The sequence below is a fragment of the Homo sapiens genome, chromosome 10 (genome assembly GCF_000001405.40).
Source record: "Homo sapiens chromosome 10, GRCh38.p14 Primary Assembly".
NCBI lineage: Eukaryota > Metazoa > Chordata > Mammalia > Primates > Hominidae > Homo > Homo sapiens.
In genome coordinates, this window is record NC_000010.11 from 61,829,149 (window position 1) to 61,850,584 (window position 21,436).

The following is a 21,436-nucleotide window of genomic DNA, read 5'->3' on the forward strand; positions in this document are numbered from 1 at the left end:
GCGCCTTATAGAAAGAATTTGCTGACCATAGAGCACATGTCCTCTTATATGCTATATACATCATTTTAAACTCAGCACATCCCAAACTAAGACTTCCACCTCCTCATGTGTGTACATGCACATGCACACACAGACCCCTCGATCCCCACCTTTCCCTTCTGAACTTTACTGTCAATCCGGGTTCCCACTGTTAATGCTGTCATCTTCTGAATCCAGTTGTCATCAAATCCTACCGTCTTCTTTTCCTTTAAAAACTCTCCCAACCTTTCTATTCCACTCTCACTATAGCCCAGATTCCAATTACTTTCCCTGACTCTACTGACATCTTCTTTCAATCCAACTTCTATGATACTGTCTGTGTCATTGTCCCAAAATGCCATTTTTACAGTTTTACAATGCAATTCAAAAACCTATGGTGGCTCTGACTTGCCTTCCACACCAAGTCTGAATTTGCTGTGCTTGGCTTTAAAAATAATCACAGTCTGCCTCCATAGTTTCTGTCAAACTCCAGGTCCCATCCCTTCCAGATCTACTCTGGGCACTCTCGTCTGGCCCATCTCCATTAGCACCGACCTTGCTAAATCTTACCTGTGTTGTTCACTTCCACCATGGCTTCTGTTACAGGTTGAATTTTGTCCCCTCCCCAAAATTCATATGTTGAAGTCTGAACCCCCAATACCTTGGAATATGGCCTTATTTGGAAATAGGTTCATTGCAGATGTTATTAGTGAAGCTAAGATGAGGTCATTTGGGAGTAGGGTGGGCCTTACAAGTGTCCTCATAAAAAGGGGAAAGTTGAAACCAGAGACACAAGGTGACTACCACATGGTCCTCAAAGCAAAGATCTGAGTGATAGATCTACAAGCCAAGGAAAACTCAAGATGGCCAAAGATGGCCAGCAAATCACCAGAGACGTGGAACAGATCCTCCCTCACAGCCTGCAGAAGGAATCAACCCCACTGACACCTTGATCTCAGAATTCTGGCCTCCAGAACTGTGAGACAATAAATGCCTGTTTTCTAGGGCACCCAGTATGCGGGGCTTCATAACAGCAGCCCTGGGAAACAAATGCAGCCCCTGACCTGACCAAGGCTCAGAAGGCTTTCTAGAGGAAAGGTAGCTCTGAAGGCTGTGTGAGATGTGCCTGTGCAGAGAAAGAGACGAAGACAGCTGCAAACAGCAAGGGAACAATTAATAAGCCCAGCAAGCTGGCCTGCATCCTCCCTTCCAAAAGGAAGCCAAGACTGCTTCCTCGAAAGCCTGCAAGGCATTTCCCCGCTTTGTACCACTCCTAGTTGGTCAGAGAAAGAGCAGGAGTGAGGGAAGCTGAGATAAGGAAATTGACTCCAGGATCTGTCTTCAGTGAGTTGCTTTTTGATGTCTACTCTTCCCTTCCTGTCCTTTCCTTGCTGAAAACTTGAGCCCCAACTTTTGTAAAAGGCATGAGCCAAGTGAATCCTCTTCAGGACTCTGTTGCCATGCCCTCCCTTTGCTTCTGTCCTGGAAGTCTCACCTTCCGGCTGGAGAGTCCACAGTCCCTGAACAAAGGCTGCTTGCGAGAGGCTGCCAAGACCTGTGCATTGTCCAGGAACTTCAAGGAGGCTAAACTGGGACCTACCAAATCAGGCAGGAGACTTCTTTCAGAGAATGTGGCCCAGGAGACTCATGAGAGGCCGAGGAGAGCTCTGCAGCTCTGTTTGGCTCTGACATGCAAGCCCATGTGTCTCTGGCTGGTTGTCAGTGAGAAAATGAAACCCCTCCAAGTCACTGGACTCCAGGAGGCCAAAGGCCAAACCAACCCTTCCGCCACCAGGTCACAGAATGTGCGTCTGTGAGCTCATTATCCTCTTCCCCAGAGATACGAATGGTTTGGTAAACTCCTTATCTCAAATGAGGCAAGGTAAACAATGATCGTATTTCTTGATCCCAGGGAAAAAAGAGGCACAAGTGCTGAAGTGAAGACACGACTGATTAGGTGGAGGGAAAAACTGGGCTGGCTTCTGGGGCATGCGACCTGAACACGAAGCCCAATACCTGGTTTAATCCTCTGCTCCTGCCATCTGAAATTCTTAGGAACTATTGAACAAGGGGTCTTGCATTTTCATTTTGCTTTGAATCCTGAAAACTTTGTAACCATCTCTGGGTAGGGGTGTGTGTGTGTGTGTGTGTGTGTGTGTGTGTGTGTGTGTGTGTGTGTTCATCCAGGGGGTGGATTGCTAATGAGTGATGAGCAGAGAAGGAATAGCTCAATTTCAAACCTGTGAGTAGAGGATAGAGAAGTAGCTGATTCCCGTTACTTGCAGTAGTTAGCTTCTACAAAGTTGCCACACACACTGAGTTAGGGAATACTGAGCCATGGCTCCTAGTGGAAATACTAGGCTCAGTTCCTGTGAGCTTCTAGTCACAATTTCATCTCATCAATCTATCAATATATAACCTTCCTTTATAAGTGTTTCTGTTTAAAGACATTATTTATAAAATATATGATATACAATATGTATTATATTATATACTATAATACATATATTTATATCATTTTATGTATTGTTTATATATTATTTACTATACATTATTTATATATTCTATAGATACTGTTACAATATAGTATATAATTATTCTATATATAATTAGTATTGTAGTATTATATACTGTATGTATAGTATATAATTAATACTATATATTATTTATATTATATACTATATATACATTACATAGTATATATTACATAGCATATATAGTATATAACCAATACTATATTAAATATATTAAATACTATATATTATGTACTATATTTAGTATATATACAGGATTACTATGTGACATAGTATATATAATATATAGTATACAATATAAATAATATACGTATGATAGTAAAGTATACATAGTATAATATATGTATTATAGTGTGTATAATATCATATATGTACTATATTATATATATACTATTTGATTCATTAACATTGAGCCCCCTGCCAACCTCACTATAACTCATGTCTGAACAAAGCTTATCTAACACACACATTTTCTCCGTAATTGCATTTAGGAACACTAGACAGCACTTTGCACTTACTTGGGGACCATTGAAACGTGAAATCGCCATCAAAAAGCACAAACATGTGAAAAACATGGCATGCAACAGATTTGTTGACAGTATCAGAGATGAAACAAGAAGGCCGAATGCGGTGGTGTACAACCTCAGCTGGGCACATGCATTTCAGGTGACTCAAATGTTTTGTCACTTTGCGTGGCATCCATCAGTGGCCATGAAAGTGCCCCAGGTATTAGTTTGGAGTTAGAAATATATTTTAGCAAGTAGGTGAATTCACAAATACAGAATCCACAAATAATGAGAATCAAATGAAATTCAACTAGGATGAGGAGCCTAGGATTCCATTTCTGTCACTGCTGTGTGACATCCAGCAAGTTTTTTATCCTCCCTGTGTGTTGGTTTTCCCTTCTTTGTCTGCTGAATTTCTATTTAGCCTTCAAGAGAAAGGTTGAAACAGGCTGAATGTGGCAAACCACCACCTCCTCCATGAGGATTTTCCAATAACTTCAGTTAGAAGTGAATTGTTTCTTTCTTCTAAATATCCCTCAGCATTTTGCCTATTCTTCCAGTATAATGCTAATCTAATCATGCTTTATTGTAATTCATTGCTGATCTTCTATTACTCCTATAAGTATATTTTAAGATCTGTAAGGACAGGGATTACATCTTATTCACCTTTATATCCAAACACTGCTGAGCCCACTTTTTCATAATGCAGGTGCTGAATAGTGATTTCACTTGAAATGACAACAATAAGCCTGGCCTTATCTACCATCGTGGCTTTCATTTTTTGCATTTTTTACTGTGGTAAAATACACATAATATAAAAGTTGCTATTAGTAACATTTAGTACATTCACAATGTTGTGCAAGCATTGCAGAACATTTCATCATTCCAAAAGGAAACACTGTACCCATTAAGCTGTCCCTCCCCATTCTCCCCGTCCCCCAGATCTTGGCTACCACTAATCTGTCCTCTGTCTCTATAAATATGCCTACTCTGAATATTTCATATAGATGGAATTATGCAATATGTGGCCCTTTGTATCTGGCTTCTTTCACTCAGCATAACGTTTTTCAGGTTAATCCATGTTGTACCATACATCAGTACTTCATTACTTTTTATGGCTGAATAATATTCCATTGTATATGGCTATACCACATTTTGTTTGTCCATTCCTCAGTTGATGGGCATTTGGGTTGTTCCCACATTTTGGCTTTTGTGAATAGTCTACCATAATATTTCAATGATTCACTATAGAAATATTAGTAATAATAATGTTTTAGCTATAAAGGTAGAATGCATGTTTACTTGTGCTCCACCCTCTACTAGACTGTAAAGTCCTGAGGGCAGGGACTTTGCCTTCTTCCCCGTAAATTCCCCAGGGCCTTGGCTAGTGTCAGGGCCTTGGCTAGTGTCTGACACAGAATACATGCTCAGTACTTCTGTTGACTAATGAACGATTTCTGCTTAGAGGATTGACTGCCAATCACAATAGATATGAAACATAGCAAAAGTCACCCTTCTATAATCATACAATGTTAGATTTTGAAGTGATCTGATTCAAGATCATCATCCAATATTATTGGGCCCATCATTTCCTAGCTGTGTAACTTGGGCAAGTTCCTTAATCTGTTACTCTAATTCCTTCCCTATAAGGAATATTGTAGATGCATGATCTACCTCAGAGAACTGTTTGATGATTAAGTGGCTTAATGTATATTCGACACTTATTGGGCATTAGATTTAAGACCGAAAGGTAAGTAAATTACCCCCAAGATTGCCCAGCTAGTTAAAAACAGAGCTGGGACTGGAACCCATATGTCTTAGCTTTCCCGTCTTCCAAAATAGTTGTTTGATGGCTGCTCAGAAACTGATGGAGAACAGAGTTTTCTTCTGCAAGGATACCAGCACAGCTTCAACAGTCACGTTTTTAGGGGCAAACATCTCTTTCCTCTTACAGGTGGCCTCTAAGCCCCAACCTCTTTACCTCCTTCTAGCTTCCAAATCTTCCAATCTTTGAATGTCTACTACTCAAAGCAATTTTTCCCAAAGTATATTCCTCAGAACATTCACTTAAACATCCAGCGTAATTTCTAGGTTTAAAAATAATGAGGATGACCAACTGACAGGATAAGAATTATGAAGGTAGTGTTTGAGTAACAGAATAAAATGTTTGGAATATTTCTCTAGGATAATAATGACATATTTTGTTTTTTAAAAATTGGCTTGGAGAATGTTTTTATTTTTTAAAAAATTATTCCTTAGCCAAATATATTTGAGAAATAAGACATCTCTTAGAAAGGGACTATGCAAATTAGCATATAGAGGTTACTAAGGAGTTTTGCATCTAGACACTTTTTAACCCAGCAGTTCCAGAGCATAATGAAATATGAAAACATTTCTCAGCACAATACTTATTACCATCCTTGGAATGCCACAAAACACATTTTAAGAAACACCAGAATTGATTTTTACCCCAGGCATCAAATGGAAGGGACATATGTTAACGCAAGCTCTATGAGAGCAGGTTTTTCTAGTTTTTTCACTGCTTAGGACAGTACCTGGCACACAGTAGAGATTAACTGATTATTTGTTGAAGAATATATGCTCATGGAAATAGCAACTTGGGATTTGGGACATCAGCCCCTGGTAGAGAAGAAGCCAGCACATTAGGTTGTGGGTCTCTGATCTGGTTGTTCTCAGCCAGAAGGTCCCCATGGAGTTGGCTATCCTAAAAGAAGAAGGCCCCCATCCACCCAGGAAGGGCTTCTTGCCAACCAAGATGGCAGGTCCCCACCAGAGTAGAACAGGCATGCAATACAGGCCACAGCTGCCTAATTCACTGGTATCAGTATTTCCACGGATGCCAGTCTTCATGACTTCCACACAAAAATCAGGTTCCCTTACAAATCTGAGTCAATAGGCTTTAAACTGAGCACTCATGAAAGAATAAACTCCACTCCCCTACTCACAGCCAGCCCTCTGGCCTTGTCTAGGCCACGGCCAGGAGCACTAGGGAGGGAAAAGGAAGGTAGCTTCAACTTTTCCTGGCAAAGTGGCCTTCCTTTTCAGAACCTGTAGCTCAGCTAAGTGGAGACACCTGGTGTTTGTTGTTGCAACTTCAAGAACAATACATTAAGACTCGGGGCAGAAAATCAGGCTTTTCATAAAAATTGTGTCATCAAAAAGACGGTTCAGGAAGAAAAAATGCAAATGGCAGCCCAACTCACCCCTACAAGACTTTTTCCCCCTCAATATTTCTACCATCTGAATAGCTTTTCTCCGTATTCCTGTATGTAAAACATGGGGGAAAAAAAACACAATAGCAAGGCACCTAAAATTTGTGAGAATCCAGAAAAGAGAAGAAATCATCTTTCCTGGTTGCTCCATTTTGTCAGGTGTTAAATCAGAGTGCTAACTTTTGTATAATAACTGTTTGCTAATACTTAATAAGTAGCCGGTGTAACACAGTTCCAAAAAATTTTTTTGTTGTTGTTAAGCCTATGCAAGGCCAAAGGAGTATTAAAGTTTCACTACGGAAGAAATATGGCCACTGCCAAGAACTGATTAGTCATAAAATCCGAGGCATTATCATCATCCATCATTGCCTTTCTTTTAATGACTGAACTAAAAAGAGAGACATCAAAGTTTTCAAAATAAGGTTATAAAAATGCTGTACGCAGATGAGGCCTCCAAATATTTTGATAGAACCTGAACAAAAAAAATATAGAAAAATCATTGAAACAAATCACAAAACATATGTTGTTATGTTTTGCTCTAAAAAGCATGAAGTTTATCCAGAACCCTATTATGGTAACTGCTTAGCTTTTCATGCATTCCTAAATTACCATGTAATCTAAAACGTTGTTTTCAGCTGCCCTGTATTGGAAAGTCCCTTAAAATAATCAGGATGATTACAGGCTAGTATTCAGAAAGAAACTTGCTTGTATTATTGTAAATGAAAGTATTATTTATCGGGCAGCCTCCTTTAAAGAAAAAAAAAAAACCCTATCTCAGAAGCACAGAAATACAATGTATTCAGGAAATACCTAAACCAAGGATTGCATTTTGGGCTCTCTACATTTTCAAACACATGGATAGTTGGTGTAAAAATATGTTCTTTTTCTGCAGGGACTTGACTGTAATTAGTGTGTGCCAAAACTCTCTCACAGAGATTTCATTGTCTTATCTACTTACATCATCTTAATGCGATTTTATTTTACTTTGTCAAAGTCATATTAATGTAAATGTGTTCTTGATAGCAAACAGAGTTCTTTTTTATGCAAAACAGGATTCAGCTGACTCTAATAAAACAGCTTGCAGTCTATTAGACTATAACAGTAATGTGCTTATTTTGTTTCTCAAATCAAGACTGTGTCAGAAAGCTATAGATGGAGATTTGTCTTGTTTTTCACAATAATTGCTAGGGTGGGGTTACATTATGATCTTTAAATGAATAGTATCGCTTAGAACAAACACTTCATATATCTTTTATCTTCCCCGGCATACAGTTCTGAGTTTTCTTTGAAAATGCTGCGCTACTTTTCCACATAAGTCATCAGAATGTTTCCAAAGAATTTTAACTGCCAGATTAATTATATCTTGCAAACAAAGATAGATTGCTTACATTCTTTATTCAGAATTCCTGCCAGTGTGGAGCAACTGGCAACAAATTAATTTCTTTTGCAACCATGCAAAATGTTTTGCTATGAAAAGCTCTGGAAGGTAAATGGATCCTTTTAAAAAAAAAAAAAATCAGGTTGCTCATTCTGAAAGGCTAATCTGTAAGCAAAGAACACAGGATTAAATGAATTTGACTACTCCCCCCCACCCCGCCCTCTTTTTTTAGCATCTATGTTATAACCCTCCCATAATGTATTCAGTTAATTAAGTATTGCTGTGACCTGGTGGCAATTTTTGAAATCCAGGGAATTTTTCCCCCTTTAAATTCTGCCTCCCCCACAGAGCAGAATATAATCTGTTTCCAGTCAGTCTGTTTATTTCAGCTGTGCTTCTACTACAAGCCTCTAAAATGTTTTAATAAATTTATCAACCAAAAAATATTACAAACATTTCATTTCCTTTGATTCAGACACACATACACACCAAAAAAAAAAAAAAAAAAAACCTCTGCCTTCATTGCAAATTCTTGGTGGTATGAATCACTCTAAGTAATATTTGCTTTAACTTTCGTGTGGTTCTACAAACAACCTTTATATGGCTGGACTTCAAAGCGAGGAGAAATAAAGGTTAGAAATGTGATAGGAGTAATCTATTATTAGGCATGAAACATTAAACCACTTTTAGCTATAAGTCTTAAAACCTGAATAATCTGGGTTTTTTAAGTAGTGCATATTTATTGTGCTTTCAGCTACACACACATTTATCACAGAGAAGTGTTTGGAAGAGAAATATTTTCCATTGCACTGTGTGCCACAATTTAGTTTAATTTTTCCTAATATTTAATTTAGAAAAACGGTAATATTATAACAGGATTCTCATGTGTCCTGGCCAAAACACTTGGTGTTCCTCACAGAGTGAAATTAATCTGTTACCAGCCTGCTGACCTGAAAGTAAGGTTTAGTAGGCACAGAGCGGGTAGGGCAGAGAAAGGGGTGGGTTAGGGTGGGTAGGGAGATAAGATCTCTTTCTTTTACTAGAAAGGAGAAAAAAAAAGGCTTAGAGGAATGTCTCAACCCACCAATGCCATCAAATGACAGAAAATAAGCTGAACGTGTATTTGAGCCGAAGAGTGTTTGAAAACATTTATTAGCTCCATCCATAACGACATTCACGGCAGGAATGTTAATTGTTAAAATCTGTACTGCAGCTAGTTCTTTAAGTAAGGGGGCTGCATTGAGTGGAAATTCAGCTCCTCGTTTCTTTTTTTCTCCACATATATTTGTACTTAAAAAAAAAACTAATGTTATGAAATAAGTCAGATGTCAGATGGAAAGCTTTCTAGCACAAGGGAATACAGAACAGTGTTAAGGATATATGCATATGCAAGAACAAAAAACAACATTGGTAACAATTTGTTCTTGATTAAATTTGTGCTCCTAATACAGTAGATTAAAAATAAGTCCAACTGTTAAACACATTAGGGTTCAGCCCCTGCTGATGTGCCAGAAAAGCAGCTATCACTCCAGACCTGGCCGGATTCTTTCTGGTAGCCTTGAGACAGGAAATCTGACCCCCAAGAAACCTGAACCCCAAAGTCCATCAGTGACCCCGAAACTTGGGGATTCCTTATTTTCGTCTACTGATTAAACCCCAGAACCTTCTTAATATTTTCTTATACCCAGTCAAAACTGGGTGTCTCTCAGCAAGGCTAAAAGACAATACCAGTTTGGAAAGATGGAGAAAGAATTATGGCTGGGCACGGTGGCTCACACCTGTAATCCCAGCACTTTGGAAGGCTGAGGTAGGAGGATCATTTGAGTTCAGGAGTTCAAAACCAGCCTGGGCAACATAAGGAGACTCTGTCTCTACAAAAAATTGAAAAAAATAAAATTAGCCAGGCATGGTGGCACGTGCTAGCGCTACTAGTCCCAGCTACTCAAGAGGCTGAGGTGGGAGGACCGTTCGATTCAGGGAAGTTGAGGCTGCAGTGAGGCATTATTGTGCCTCTGCACTCCAACCTGGATGACAGAGTGAGACCCTGTCTCAGTAATTAAAAAAATATAAAATTTAAGGGAAAAAATGAAGAATTGCTGATAGCCACAATCAAGGCAATCTTTGAAGAAATTAAGTTGTAGTTTATTGGGCAAATATTTGTAAAACTTGTATCGTTTAAGAAGATTATTGTAAGCCATGTCTGCCTCTCCCTAGAAACGTTATAAATGGAGTTAAAGACATAATTGAATTCCAAAATGCCCAAACCGGTACCGTGGCTCAAGCCTGTAATCCCAGCATTTTGGGAGGCCAAAGCAGGCAGATCACTTAAGGTCATGAGTTCAAGACCAGCCTGGCCAACATGGTGAAACCCCATCTCTACTAAAAATACAAAAATTAGCTAGGCATGGCGGCAGGCACCTGCAATCTCAGCTACTCAGGAGGCTGAGGCAGGAGAATCACTTGAACCCAGAAGTTTGCAGTGAGCCGAGATCGGGCCACTGCACTCCAGGCTAGGCGACAAAGTGAGACTCTGTCTTAAAAAAAAAAAAAAAGAAAAAAAATGCCCAAACTGGAAGGCACTTCGAGATCATAGCCAACTCTCTTCTTTCCTGGATGACTTTCCATGAGGTTAAAGAGAGGGCTTGGCCAAGGTCAGACCAGGGGGAGGCCCCATCTAGCTGAACACGGAACTCAGGCCTTGGTTTCCCCAGCCATGACTATGATATGGTACCATCTGCCTTTTCAGTTTGTTCAAAAAAGAAGACTGAAATTAAATTCATGGGTATAAGAAAAACAACATGTGTCTTCAGGTAATTATATTAATGGCTCTTTACCTAAACTGTTGTGTTATTCCACCTGTACGTTTTCTTAGAGTATGTGTATTTTTCTAAACAAAAATACCAACTCAAATTATTACTCCCTCCTTTCTCCAGCCTCCCCTGCTCCAACCCTAGTGTATTTTTCTGGTCTTTGGTCAATCTGGTTTAATAGGTTACCTCTTGCTGACGCTCTCATTTCACAGAGTAGTGGAGTTCTCTGCCGTGACATGTTTTCTGGAAACATAAGGGTATGAGGCTGTAACATTCGTAAATTTAGGAAGTAATAGCTCCCCAAAAGCAATGTAGATAGCTCAGATATTGCCAGAAAAGAAGAACAGTTAATTGAAACTATTTGGGGCATGCAGTATTGAACAAGGAGATGGTTTCTGAGCAACACATATCTAAACGTGGCTTGCCAGAGACCTGCACACATTTAATTTGCTCTACAAATTTGGTTAGCCCAATAAAGTGTGAACATCAAACACTGGTCGTGGAGAGCATTAAACATTAACCAACAGAGACCTTAAAGACTTGGGCAGAACATTAAAATTAGAGGAGAAAGATAGGCCAGGCAACTCTGGGAAATTAGGTTAAGACTCCAAAAGCGAATGTTTGTTGGCTGAATAAAAATAAAGTGAAAACTATTTTGAGATTGGTAACCATTTGTCTCCACAGACAGGCCACTTTCCCCCTAGGATTATATTTTTAAAATCAAGCAAACATACTAAAGTCAATTTGATTTTCTGTTGTTCTCCAGAATGAAATGTATTACCACCCAAATGAACCCTGAAAAGGGGGATTTCGGTTGCCATTCCCAGATCCACGAACACTTAAATGGAGTCTGGCCTTTTTTCCATTTTTCGTGTTTATGTGTATTGCATACTGCTTAGCCTGGGGCTCAAACCCTGTTAAAGTTCAATCAACTTTTGTTGAACAGCAGAATGAAAATGTCCTCTGAGGAGATAAGGATGGCTTCCAGGCTCACTCATTCGGACTTCCTCTTTACCTGACAAAAACTGGTGTATACTTCCCTTCTCAGCAACAGCAATAAGTGCTTCCTTCAAAATAGTTAGATTCAGGAAAAGGAAAATAATATCATATTCTAGTCCTTATTCTCTAACTATCTTTTGCCCTAGTAGGCCTCACAAAGTAAATCTCTTGAAAGTAATAGCAGTTTTCTCTCAGGAGAATGTTTGGTACATTATTTTTTTAATATCTAGTAACGTTCCAGGATGTAGTAGGTGACAGCACTCAATAACTCTACATAACTCATGGAGAGGCGGAGTTAAACATAAGTTAAACCGCTACTGGACCAGGAGTTAACTCCTAAGACAATTTAAGTGTGGCTACTTGTCTTAAGATACAAAATATCCACTAATGATAGAATAGAGGAACCCCTAGGGGCCCTGACATAAGGTGAGTTCCCCCAGAAATAGACCTTTAAACAGTGATTTTTTTTTCTTTTTTGTTCTTTGCCCAGGTTAGCGTGCAGTGGTAGGATCTTGGCCTCAACCTCCTAGGCTCACCCAATACTCCGATCTCAGCCTGCCAAGTAGCTGGGACTGCAGACATATGCCTGGATACGTTTTTCCATTTTTTTTATAGAGGCCGGGTCTCGCTATGTTTCCTGGGCTGGTCTCCTGTGATGCTCCTGCCTCGGCCTCCCAAAGTGCTAGGATTACAGGTATGAGCCACCATGTCCAGCCCTTGAGTAGGATTTGAGTGCAAGAAGTTGATCTGAGAAGCAAAGGAAACCCCAGGTGGGGAGTAGGAAAGTGAGACAGGATAGGGAAGCCAGTCAATGCAAAGTGTGTTGTCTAGCTAGCTACCACTGTGGGCAACTGTTTAACCCTAATGAGGAAACTCAGGGAGGCCTTGTAGAACATACACCTCAGAATTACCCCACCAGAGGGGTGGGAGCTGGGATATTTATACACCAGCTGCCATCAGCCTTTGGATGAGGTTGTTCCTTTGAGGCATTAACTCCCTGGTACTAGCAGCTGTCCACACAGGCAGGAAAATCAGGTTTTGGTGGCTGAAGGAAACTCTCAAGCAGACAAATGCAGGAGCTGGCAGTAGAAAAGCAGGCTGGTATGCTCTGAAGCCATGAGGGTGAGGAGCTATGGGCAGGACCCAGACAGGTCCCTTGGGTGGAGGGAGGTTTAAATGCAGTTCTTTTTTTGTCTAGCACAGTGGCTAACACATTGTCAGATCCTATTCAATAGTTGTTGAATGAAGGAAGGAAAGACAGAATAAGACATCAATTAATAAAATTTTGTTGATGCTTCACAGATACGGTTTACTCTCTGTTTAATGTTGAAACAGTTCAAACTTTTCTCAGTAAACTATATAATATCAGCTCAGGCTTGGTGTCAGACAGATCAAAGTTTCAGCCCCATTTCTATCACTTCTAGTTGTGAGACCTTAAGTAAGTTACTTTACTTCTCTGAGCCTCAGAGAATGCCTATTTTACAATGCCTATTCCACAGTACAGTGGCCTATTACAATACCTGTTCCATAGTATTTAATAATATAAGACTGAAAAAGTAAATGATATTGAGCTTGGTACAGTAACTGAGCTTGGTAAGTGTTCAGTGCTATCATAATGGCTCAAGAATCAGTTCCCTGACTTGAAATCCCACTCATATCACCAACTATCTACATATCTTTGAACAACTCATTTAGCCTCTGTGGTGCAAGGTCTCCTCATCTCTAAAATGGACACAAAATTGCCTGTTACTCCTTCCCCTGAGAATGAAGTCCTAAACAGATATCATGAGAGGGTAAGTCACACTTATGGAGCACTTTACAGTTTACACAGTCCTTTTATATATGTCATCTCATTTCTGAGCAAGATAGGGTTGTGAACTTGCAAATCATTCTGTCAATGTAGGGAAGCATTTCTCCAGTTCTCCAAGTACCCCCGAGTCTGATTTGTGTTTGGATTAGGTTATAGACTGTGAGATGACCTATAAGGGCTGCACATAGGTGCCCAAAGAGAATGGGGTTCGAATCACTGATAGTTGGTTAGGAAATGAGGGTGGGTGTGAGAGTCAGGGTCTGGCAGAGACCTGCCCAAGTGGGCACTGCAGGCTCATGCTCAGAACACAGTGTTTATAGATTCAAAATGAACCAAGAGTATAACTTATAGCAGGAGCCCTTGAACCAATGAAGTCATCCGAGTGGGGCTGACTGGAGTGGCCGGCAAGCAGCGCCTCTTATACATCAACCCGGGAGATAGAAGCCTAAAACTTAGCCAGAAGGTGATCCCACCAGAATGTCTGAGCACTAATTACATGCCAGGAAGAGTGGAGGATACAAAGTGAATGCCCTTTTATTATCTCTATTCCACTGCTGATAAAGCTGAGGCTTAGAAAAGATGTGTCATTTGCCCAGACTTCACAAAACCAAAGCCCAGGCCTGCTTGTTGCCAAAGAGAGGCTTTTAAACCACAGTGTAATACTGACTTTCTACAATATCATAACATTTGATGCCACTCAAAATATAACTACAATAGATAAAATAAGTATTTTTGATAATTTTTTAACTTTAAGCATTGCAAGGGAAAAATATTTTATAACAAAGCATTGATAGTCACTAGACTAACCATGTGAGTCATGAATTACACTTTACAAGACAATGCAAAGTTGTGGTCACTGCTTTCCAAATGCTCTCATCCTAAGGTATTCCTAAGCCTTCCATAAGAATTCAGCCAAGTCAACAAGAATAAATGTAAGTAATTAGTCTAATTTGTGATGGCTTCCCTTCATTGCATCTCAATGAACTCACTTTAATTTAGGGGACTCTAGGAACCAAAAAATAATTGCTAACTTACTATTCACTTACTGTGCACTTACTCTGTGTTGGGCACTGGGCTAAATGCCTTACCTGAGTTACTGCATTTATTCCTCACAACAGCCTTCCAGGTTAGGTGCTATTAGCTTCCTCTTTTATAGATATGAAACTGAGGTTCAGAGAGGTTGAAGAACTTTTCCAAGGTCAAGTTAAAGCTAATAAGTGGGAGAACTGAAATTCAAATCTCGACTGCCTAATTCCGGGAACAATGCATTCATCCTCGGCTCTACACTGCCCAAGTCTTGAATCCTAGTGTTGGAGAAGTCTTTATTTTCATTTAGACATTCCCTATTAAATGAGACAAATATGGGCTCTTAAATACTATAAACAACTTTTTTTTTAAATGTACTTGAGAAAGCTTAGTTCCTAGGAATTCTTCAGAACAGAGTTGAAGTTCCAAAACAAATCTCCCCAGAACAAGCCTGTTTAATATAAAGAATTAAAAAGGAGGGCATGTAATTGCCTACAGTATTTGATTCGAATTTTGTAAATACCTTTTAAACTTTTAGTAAGCCTATGCTTGTAAAAATACATTTTCAAAAAACATATTATATATGCAAGTTTACAACCCTGACGCTTTTTAAAAACTTACCATTACTTTACAAATATACAATCTCTATAATATTCAGCATGAAGAAAATTCCAGAAAGGAATGCATTAAAAGTCAAAATGTGATTGCTACCTTTTCTTATCTAAAAAGTGCAAGTGTTACATGGTTATCAGGAAAAAAAATGAACATTAATATTTGTCCATTCATCATGAGTCAGGCTGGCTTTTTACATCTATTTTCCCAACTAACGCCCACAACAAGCTTTAGATGTAGCTATTATCTTGTCCTATTTATAAATAAGGAAGCAAGTTTTAGAGAAATTAAGGGACTGTCCCAGGGTCATACAACTAAACAGCAGCAAAAGTAGGATTTCAGTTCTGTTTTACTCTCAGCTGAGAGGTCTTTGCACTACAACACAACCTGTCATACAAATTATTTATGTTGGCATCCATATATGCCTCTGTGACAAGATTATTTACTGAGATATTGATTTATAATTGTTTCCTGATTCCAAATGAGACTAGAAGAAAGGTATTTTCCCCTCCCTAAATCAAAACTGTGGAGGGGTACATGCCTGAGACAGGAGAGATTCGTAGGGTGGAGGTGATCCTTTACAAGTGGGGAAGACCTGAGTTTGCAGGAAGTGGGTGTGGATACTGGGCTCCCAGGGAAGCCGCCACCCCAGGCATCTAGCCCAAAGATCCTGCTGCCTCAGCTTAGCACATGGTGAGTGAGGCGGCCCACCTCTGAAATAAGGTACCCTAAGATTATTCAGAGCATAACTTGAAAAATCTCTAATCGAAAGAATTAAAATAATGACCTTTTATCAGGTCAGGACTCAGACTTGGCAATACGGAGTTTGCTCAGACACAGGTACAACTTCTGCCTTGAGGCATTGAAATCTTTGGTCCCATGCTAGAGAATTGATCCCCATTGGCAGGGACAGAATGGGATGCAAAATGTAGCAAGTACTCCAACAGTGACCTGGTGGGGTTTCTTTCAGAAGCTTTTCCTGGCGCAGTACAGCTGCCCTTTAGAATGGCAAGAGTTGACCACCAACCAGAAAGAAGCCCTGATTCCACCAAGCCTGCGGGCCACATCTGTTGCAACAGGAGCCACTTTTCAGTCCCATCAGCTCCTTCTCTTCTAGCTATGACTTTTATCATGGGCTCCACTTCAATCATTAGCAATAAATAGAAAATACCCAAAAGCCCCAAAATAAAGGTCCCCTTTTCATTTAAAACATTCAGATTTCATTGCTTGTGCTGTGGCTAACATCAAGTCACAAAGTGGCAGGGCAGTTCCCCAAGCCCGTTCTGCTTCCAAGCTTGTTAAACTTTGGAATGGGTTTTGTCCTTTGGGTGTGCATGTGTTTTAAAGCTGTTTTATGACACATTGTCGGGAACTCAGGTACTGGACCTCTTTAACTCCAGCTTTCAGCAGCTGCCTTTGCACTTCCCTTTCACATAATTAAACACCCTATGGTACTTAACAGAGTAATAAGTAGCACATCAATAAAGCAATAAATAATTGTATTCAGGCAAACTCCAGAGCCATCATCCATTAACCAGAGCTGTGAGCAATACTTTTGATTAATCAGTAAGGTTATATAATAGCAAAGCAAAAGTCAGTCAAGGCTTGGGCAAGAATCAACCAGACTTCCAAGCCATGAAGAAGTCTTATCTCTGAGGTAACCTGCAGGGAGGCTATCAATTGGAAGCATTAACCCAGAGAGTAACTGAAGCAGCAGGAAGTCCCACCTCCAGAAACTAGTTAAAAACAAAGAAACAGGATGATCTGGCTGAGGCAGGAGGGCTGCCTACTGAGAATATGGAGTAAAGGGCCTATAAAAGCAAAATGTTCTGACTTCAGAGAACAAATACTTGCAGCTGAGCTGAAGAGCAAAGGAGAATCAGGATGGACCTGGAACTCCATCCATGAGTCTGAGGGAAACTTCTGCAGATACGATGCTGTCTGGGAGGAGTGCTTATTCAGCCTCCCACCGAGAAGTATAGGAATGTTGTTATTAGACCACGGCTCTGTAGGCCAACACCAGCACAGGGCTGGGTGACTATGCTTAGAGCCCTCAGAATCACCTGTGGAGCTTTTTATTCTTAACAATAGCTTGCCTGGATCTCACAAACCCAAATCTCTGGAGGCAGGGCCCAGGAACCTGTATTTCTAACGAGCTCCCCAGGTGGTTCCACTGCACAGCCAATGTGGAGAACCTCTGGTTTGGTGACAATAATGGAGGACCCCTATAGACCTAGCCAGCTGGGCCAGCCTTGCCATGTGTGGCCACGAGGCTGCTGTCAAGATCCTCAGCTTGACACTTGAAACAGATCTTAGGCAGTCCAGATTTGTAAATGCACCATGAGTTTGTTTATACCAGTAGTCACTAGACTCAGAAGAGGCGCCCATGGTGCACCTGATCAAGGCTTGTGCCCAGGTTTCAGTGCGCTAACATGTTCCCCAAGGGAGTCAGAGAAAACTAGCCCAATACCAGTCATGTTGAGAAGCATTCATTCCATCCTCAAAATACTGAGGGCCTACTATGTGCAGGCACTCTTTTAAACACAGGGGATTCATCAAGAATGAAAACAAAACTCTCTCCTCAGAAGGAGCTTCATTCCAATGGGACCCCAGAGTTTTCTGGGTGTCTCAGGGCACAAGAGGATTGGGACTGAGCCAGTAGAGGTTTGCACACTCGAACTGCACTGCAACAAGACAGCATGTTTTTGTTATAGAAATTTTAAGCACATGTGAAAGTAGAGAGTGGTATAATGAATCCCCACCACGTACCTCTCACCTAGTGCCCACAGTTACCAATTCATGGCCAATCTCCTTTCATACCCACCTTCACCCTCATTACCCAGATTATTTTGAAGAAAAACCCAGACATCATATTGTTTTATCTGCGAATACTGTCAGTATGTATCTCTAAGACATGGATAATCTTTAAAAAAAAATAATCACCACATACCCTTATCCCACTTAAAATGTTAACACTAATTTCATAATCTTCAATTTAGTCAGTGTTAACATTTTCCCAACTGTCTCACAGTTTAAAGTATGTATTTTCAAATGAAGATCAAATAAGGTCCATACGTTGAAATTAGTTGATACATCTCTTAAGTCTCTCTTAATCTAAAGCTGCCCCCACCCCTGCTTCAATCATGTCCTTTGTTCTGTAGAGTCTGGATTTTGCTGACTGCATCCCCGTGGTATCACTTAACATATTTCACTTTTGTTCAGTGTATTTCCTGTCATATGGTAGTTATAGCCAGAGGTTTGCTCAGAGTTGGTTTTGATTTTTTTGGCAAAAGTATTTCAAAGGTCTATCAGGCTTTTCATGTCTACTGGATGTTGATCTCTTTGTGATGTTGGCAGCCATGTATGATCATTTTCTAGATCCTTTACTTCATTAGGAGCTCATGAAACAATTGTAAACCACTAGGAAGATTCATTAGGATCATTAGGTGAGATCCCTATTTCAATTGGTGATATTCTAATTTTAATAGCTTTATCAGCTAAAATACTGCTATGATGAAAACTTCTCATCAGCTCTCTGGTTACCCTGAGGTATAGGAAAAGCAAAATAAATGATTTATTTCTTTATTTGTCAGTTTTCAAAATAAGTTGGTTCCTTAGCATCATCCAAAGATTTTTGTTAAGTGTCATTATGAACCCATGAACTTAAGCAGCTCGCAACTTTTTAAGCAGCTCACAACTGACATCCTTCTTTGAGTCTCTTACATATATAGCCTGTCTTTGTCCAGTGGGAACTGACTCAGACTGGCTCCTGGATCCTTGAAATATGACCCTTCTAGTCTTTGATATCTTTCTTGCTAGTATGTCAAGATGTTCTCGGTGCTTCTTGTACCTTTCCTGCCCCAGATCTGGAATTAGCCATTTTTCCAAAGGGCCCTGGCTTATTTTTAGTCAGCAATGGTATTTAAAGACCACATTCTGCAGTCCCACTTTTATCTATTGTAGTTATTGAGGTTTGACATGAGAGTCCCATTGAATAAAAGGTTTTGCTACTTAAACATTTCTTTGAAAGTCATTTGTCTTTGGAAGAAAAAATTAATAAAGGGTTAATTTGAATATATTAGGAGTTCCTACAAATTAATTAAAAAACACAAATAATGATAAAAAATAGGCAAGATATTTGAATAGGCAATTGAGAGAAAAGTAAATACAAGTGTACAATAAACATAGAAAAATGTTCAACCTTCTAGCTGTCATGTAATTACAAATTAAATCACTAATGAGATACGAATTTTCAGCCTTCGGTCTGGCAAAAATATTTAAATTTGAGAGTTACATTTTAAGAGGTACCAGAGCTAACAAAAATGGGGATCAAACACTGATATTGAGAATGTTAATTAACCCATCTTTTTGGAAAATAAAATTTTTAATATATACCCTTTGACCTTGTAATCCCAATTCTAGGAATCCAGCTTACAGAAATGAAAACAAAAATATTTTACATATATATATATGGATTTTGTTGCAGCATTGTTTACAACAAAATTTTAAAAACCATTATTAAGGCACTGGTTGAATAAATTATAATACACAATACAATTTTTTTTTTTTTTTTTTTTTGCGACAGAGTTTCGCTCTTGTTGCCCAGGCTGGAGTGCAATGGCGCAATCTTGGCTCACCACAACCTCTGCCTCCTGGGTTCAAGCGATTCTCCTGCCTCAGCCTCCCAAGTAGCTGGGATTACAGGCATGGGCCACCACGCCCGGTTAATTTTGTATTTTTAGTATAGACAGGGTTTCTCCATGTTGGTCAGGCTGGTCTTAAACTCCCGATCTCGCGTGATCCGCCCGCCTTGGCCTCACAAAGTGCTGGGATTACAGGCATGAGCCACTGTGCCCAGCCCACATTATAAAATTTTATGCAGCTATTTTTTAAATGTTACAAATTTATATCTATCAGTATGTAAAAATACCCACCATATAGCCATAGCTTCAGAATATTACATATAGAAAGATAACATCTATATGTATATATTCATGTATACACATGATAGGTAGACAGCAAGGCAGACAAACAGGCTTAAAAATAACTCAGAAAAGATGCATGGCAAAATGTTCAAAGTGGGTAGCTTTGGTAGCTGAGATGGGAACATCATTTTTAAATTTAATGTTTAATTCCATATAATTAATAAAAAGTGATGGCCATATGAGGAGTTTTTTGGTTTTTTGTTTGTTTGTTTGTTTGTTTGTTTGTTTGTTTTTTAAGACGGAGTCTCACTCTGTCCCCCAGGCTGGAGTGCAGTGGCGTGATCTCAGCTCACTGCAAGTTCCGCCTCCCAGGTTCACGCCACTCTCCTGCCTCAGCCTCCTGAGTAGCTGGGACTACAGGCGCCCGCCACCACGCCCGGCTAATTTTTTGTATTTTTAGTAGAGACGGGGTTTCACCGTGTTAGCCAGGATGGTCTCGATCTCCTGACCTCATGATCCACCCGTCTCAGCCTCCCAAAGTGCTGGGATTACAGGCATGAGCCACCGCGCTCAGCCCAATATGAGAAGTTTTAACTCTTTTTCTGTTTTCAATATAATATCCACCCCTAAAAACAGAAGAAAAAGAAAGCCCACAATATCAGCACTGGTTGAGACATTTATCAAAGAGCTTGATATGGATCAATCAAATCCCTTCTTCCTAAACCCATCACAGGTACATATGGGAGAGCATTTGTGCTCAAGAGTAATTGCTACTCACTTCCACCTTGGTATTTGCTCCATTATTTCTTAGCTTCTTGGCCCTCAAAGCCTCTATGATCACAGTAAGATTTTCCACAAGCCCCTTTTTCGCTTGGGCTGAGGTGCCTTTCTGTTTAGGTCTCTGGGAAACTGTTCCCCCAAAAAATGTTGTCTTTGACAACTAAGGAAGTTTCAGAGGATTGGATGCTGAGTGCTGCTGCTAACCTGTAAATCTGTACCCCATTCCTGGCTTCCTGGGCTTCTCCCCAAGGCACACAGTCACTGATCTCCACGGGCAAATCAAATGAAATCTTTACCAAGGCTTTGAGAAAATTGTTAAAAAGAATATAAAATGTAATCAGAAGCACGAGAAAAGCTAGTGACTGGCATTAAGTGCTCTCCATTAGGTACGTAATGGCCTGTCCTGGCTTCCCCTCCAAGTCCCATACATTTATTGCTGGACAATGTGCATGTGTGGCCTATCATTCTCCTTGAGCATTTACAGAGCCTTGATCATCACACATGAGCTTAGCCTGGTCCCACACACCAGGGATCAGGGTCTTACCCCCAGGATAGGGACCTAAATGCTATATTGCAGGGTGAGCCAGAGCAGCATTCCTGAATGTTGACACTCCTAACAATATTTGATCTCTTCCTTCTTGCCATTCCAAGGGCAATAACTTCTCAGATATTTCCCCTTTGACTTAGGATCAGTAGCATTATCTCCTTGCTGTGCACTTCTCTTTGAGTCCCAATCCCCCATCTATTTACAAAAGACCAGATAAGATCAGCAACTTGCCCAATGCTGTTCCAATTCCTTTCACAA

The 21,436-nt window shown here is 40.0% G+C and overlaps 1 long non-coding RNA gene across 3 annotated transcripts in view; it reads right to left on the bottom strand.

Annotated features, from left to right (window-relative positions):
* LINC02625 (long intergenic non-protein coding RNA 2625) overlaps positions 1 to 21,436 on the bottom strand; it is an 89,240-nt gene that overhangs the window by 50,443 nt on the left and 17,361 nt on the right. The window lies entirely within an intron of this gene.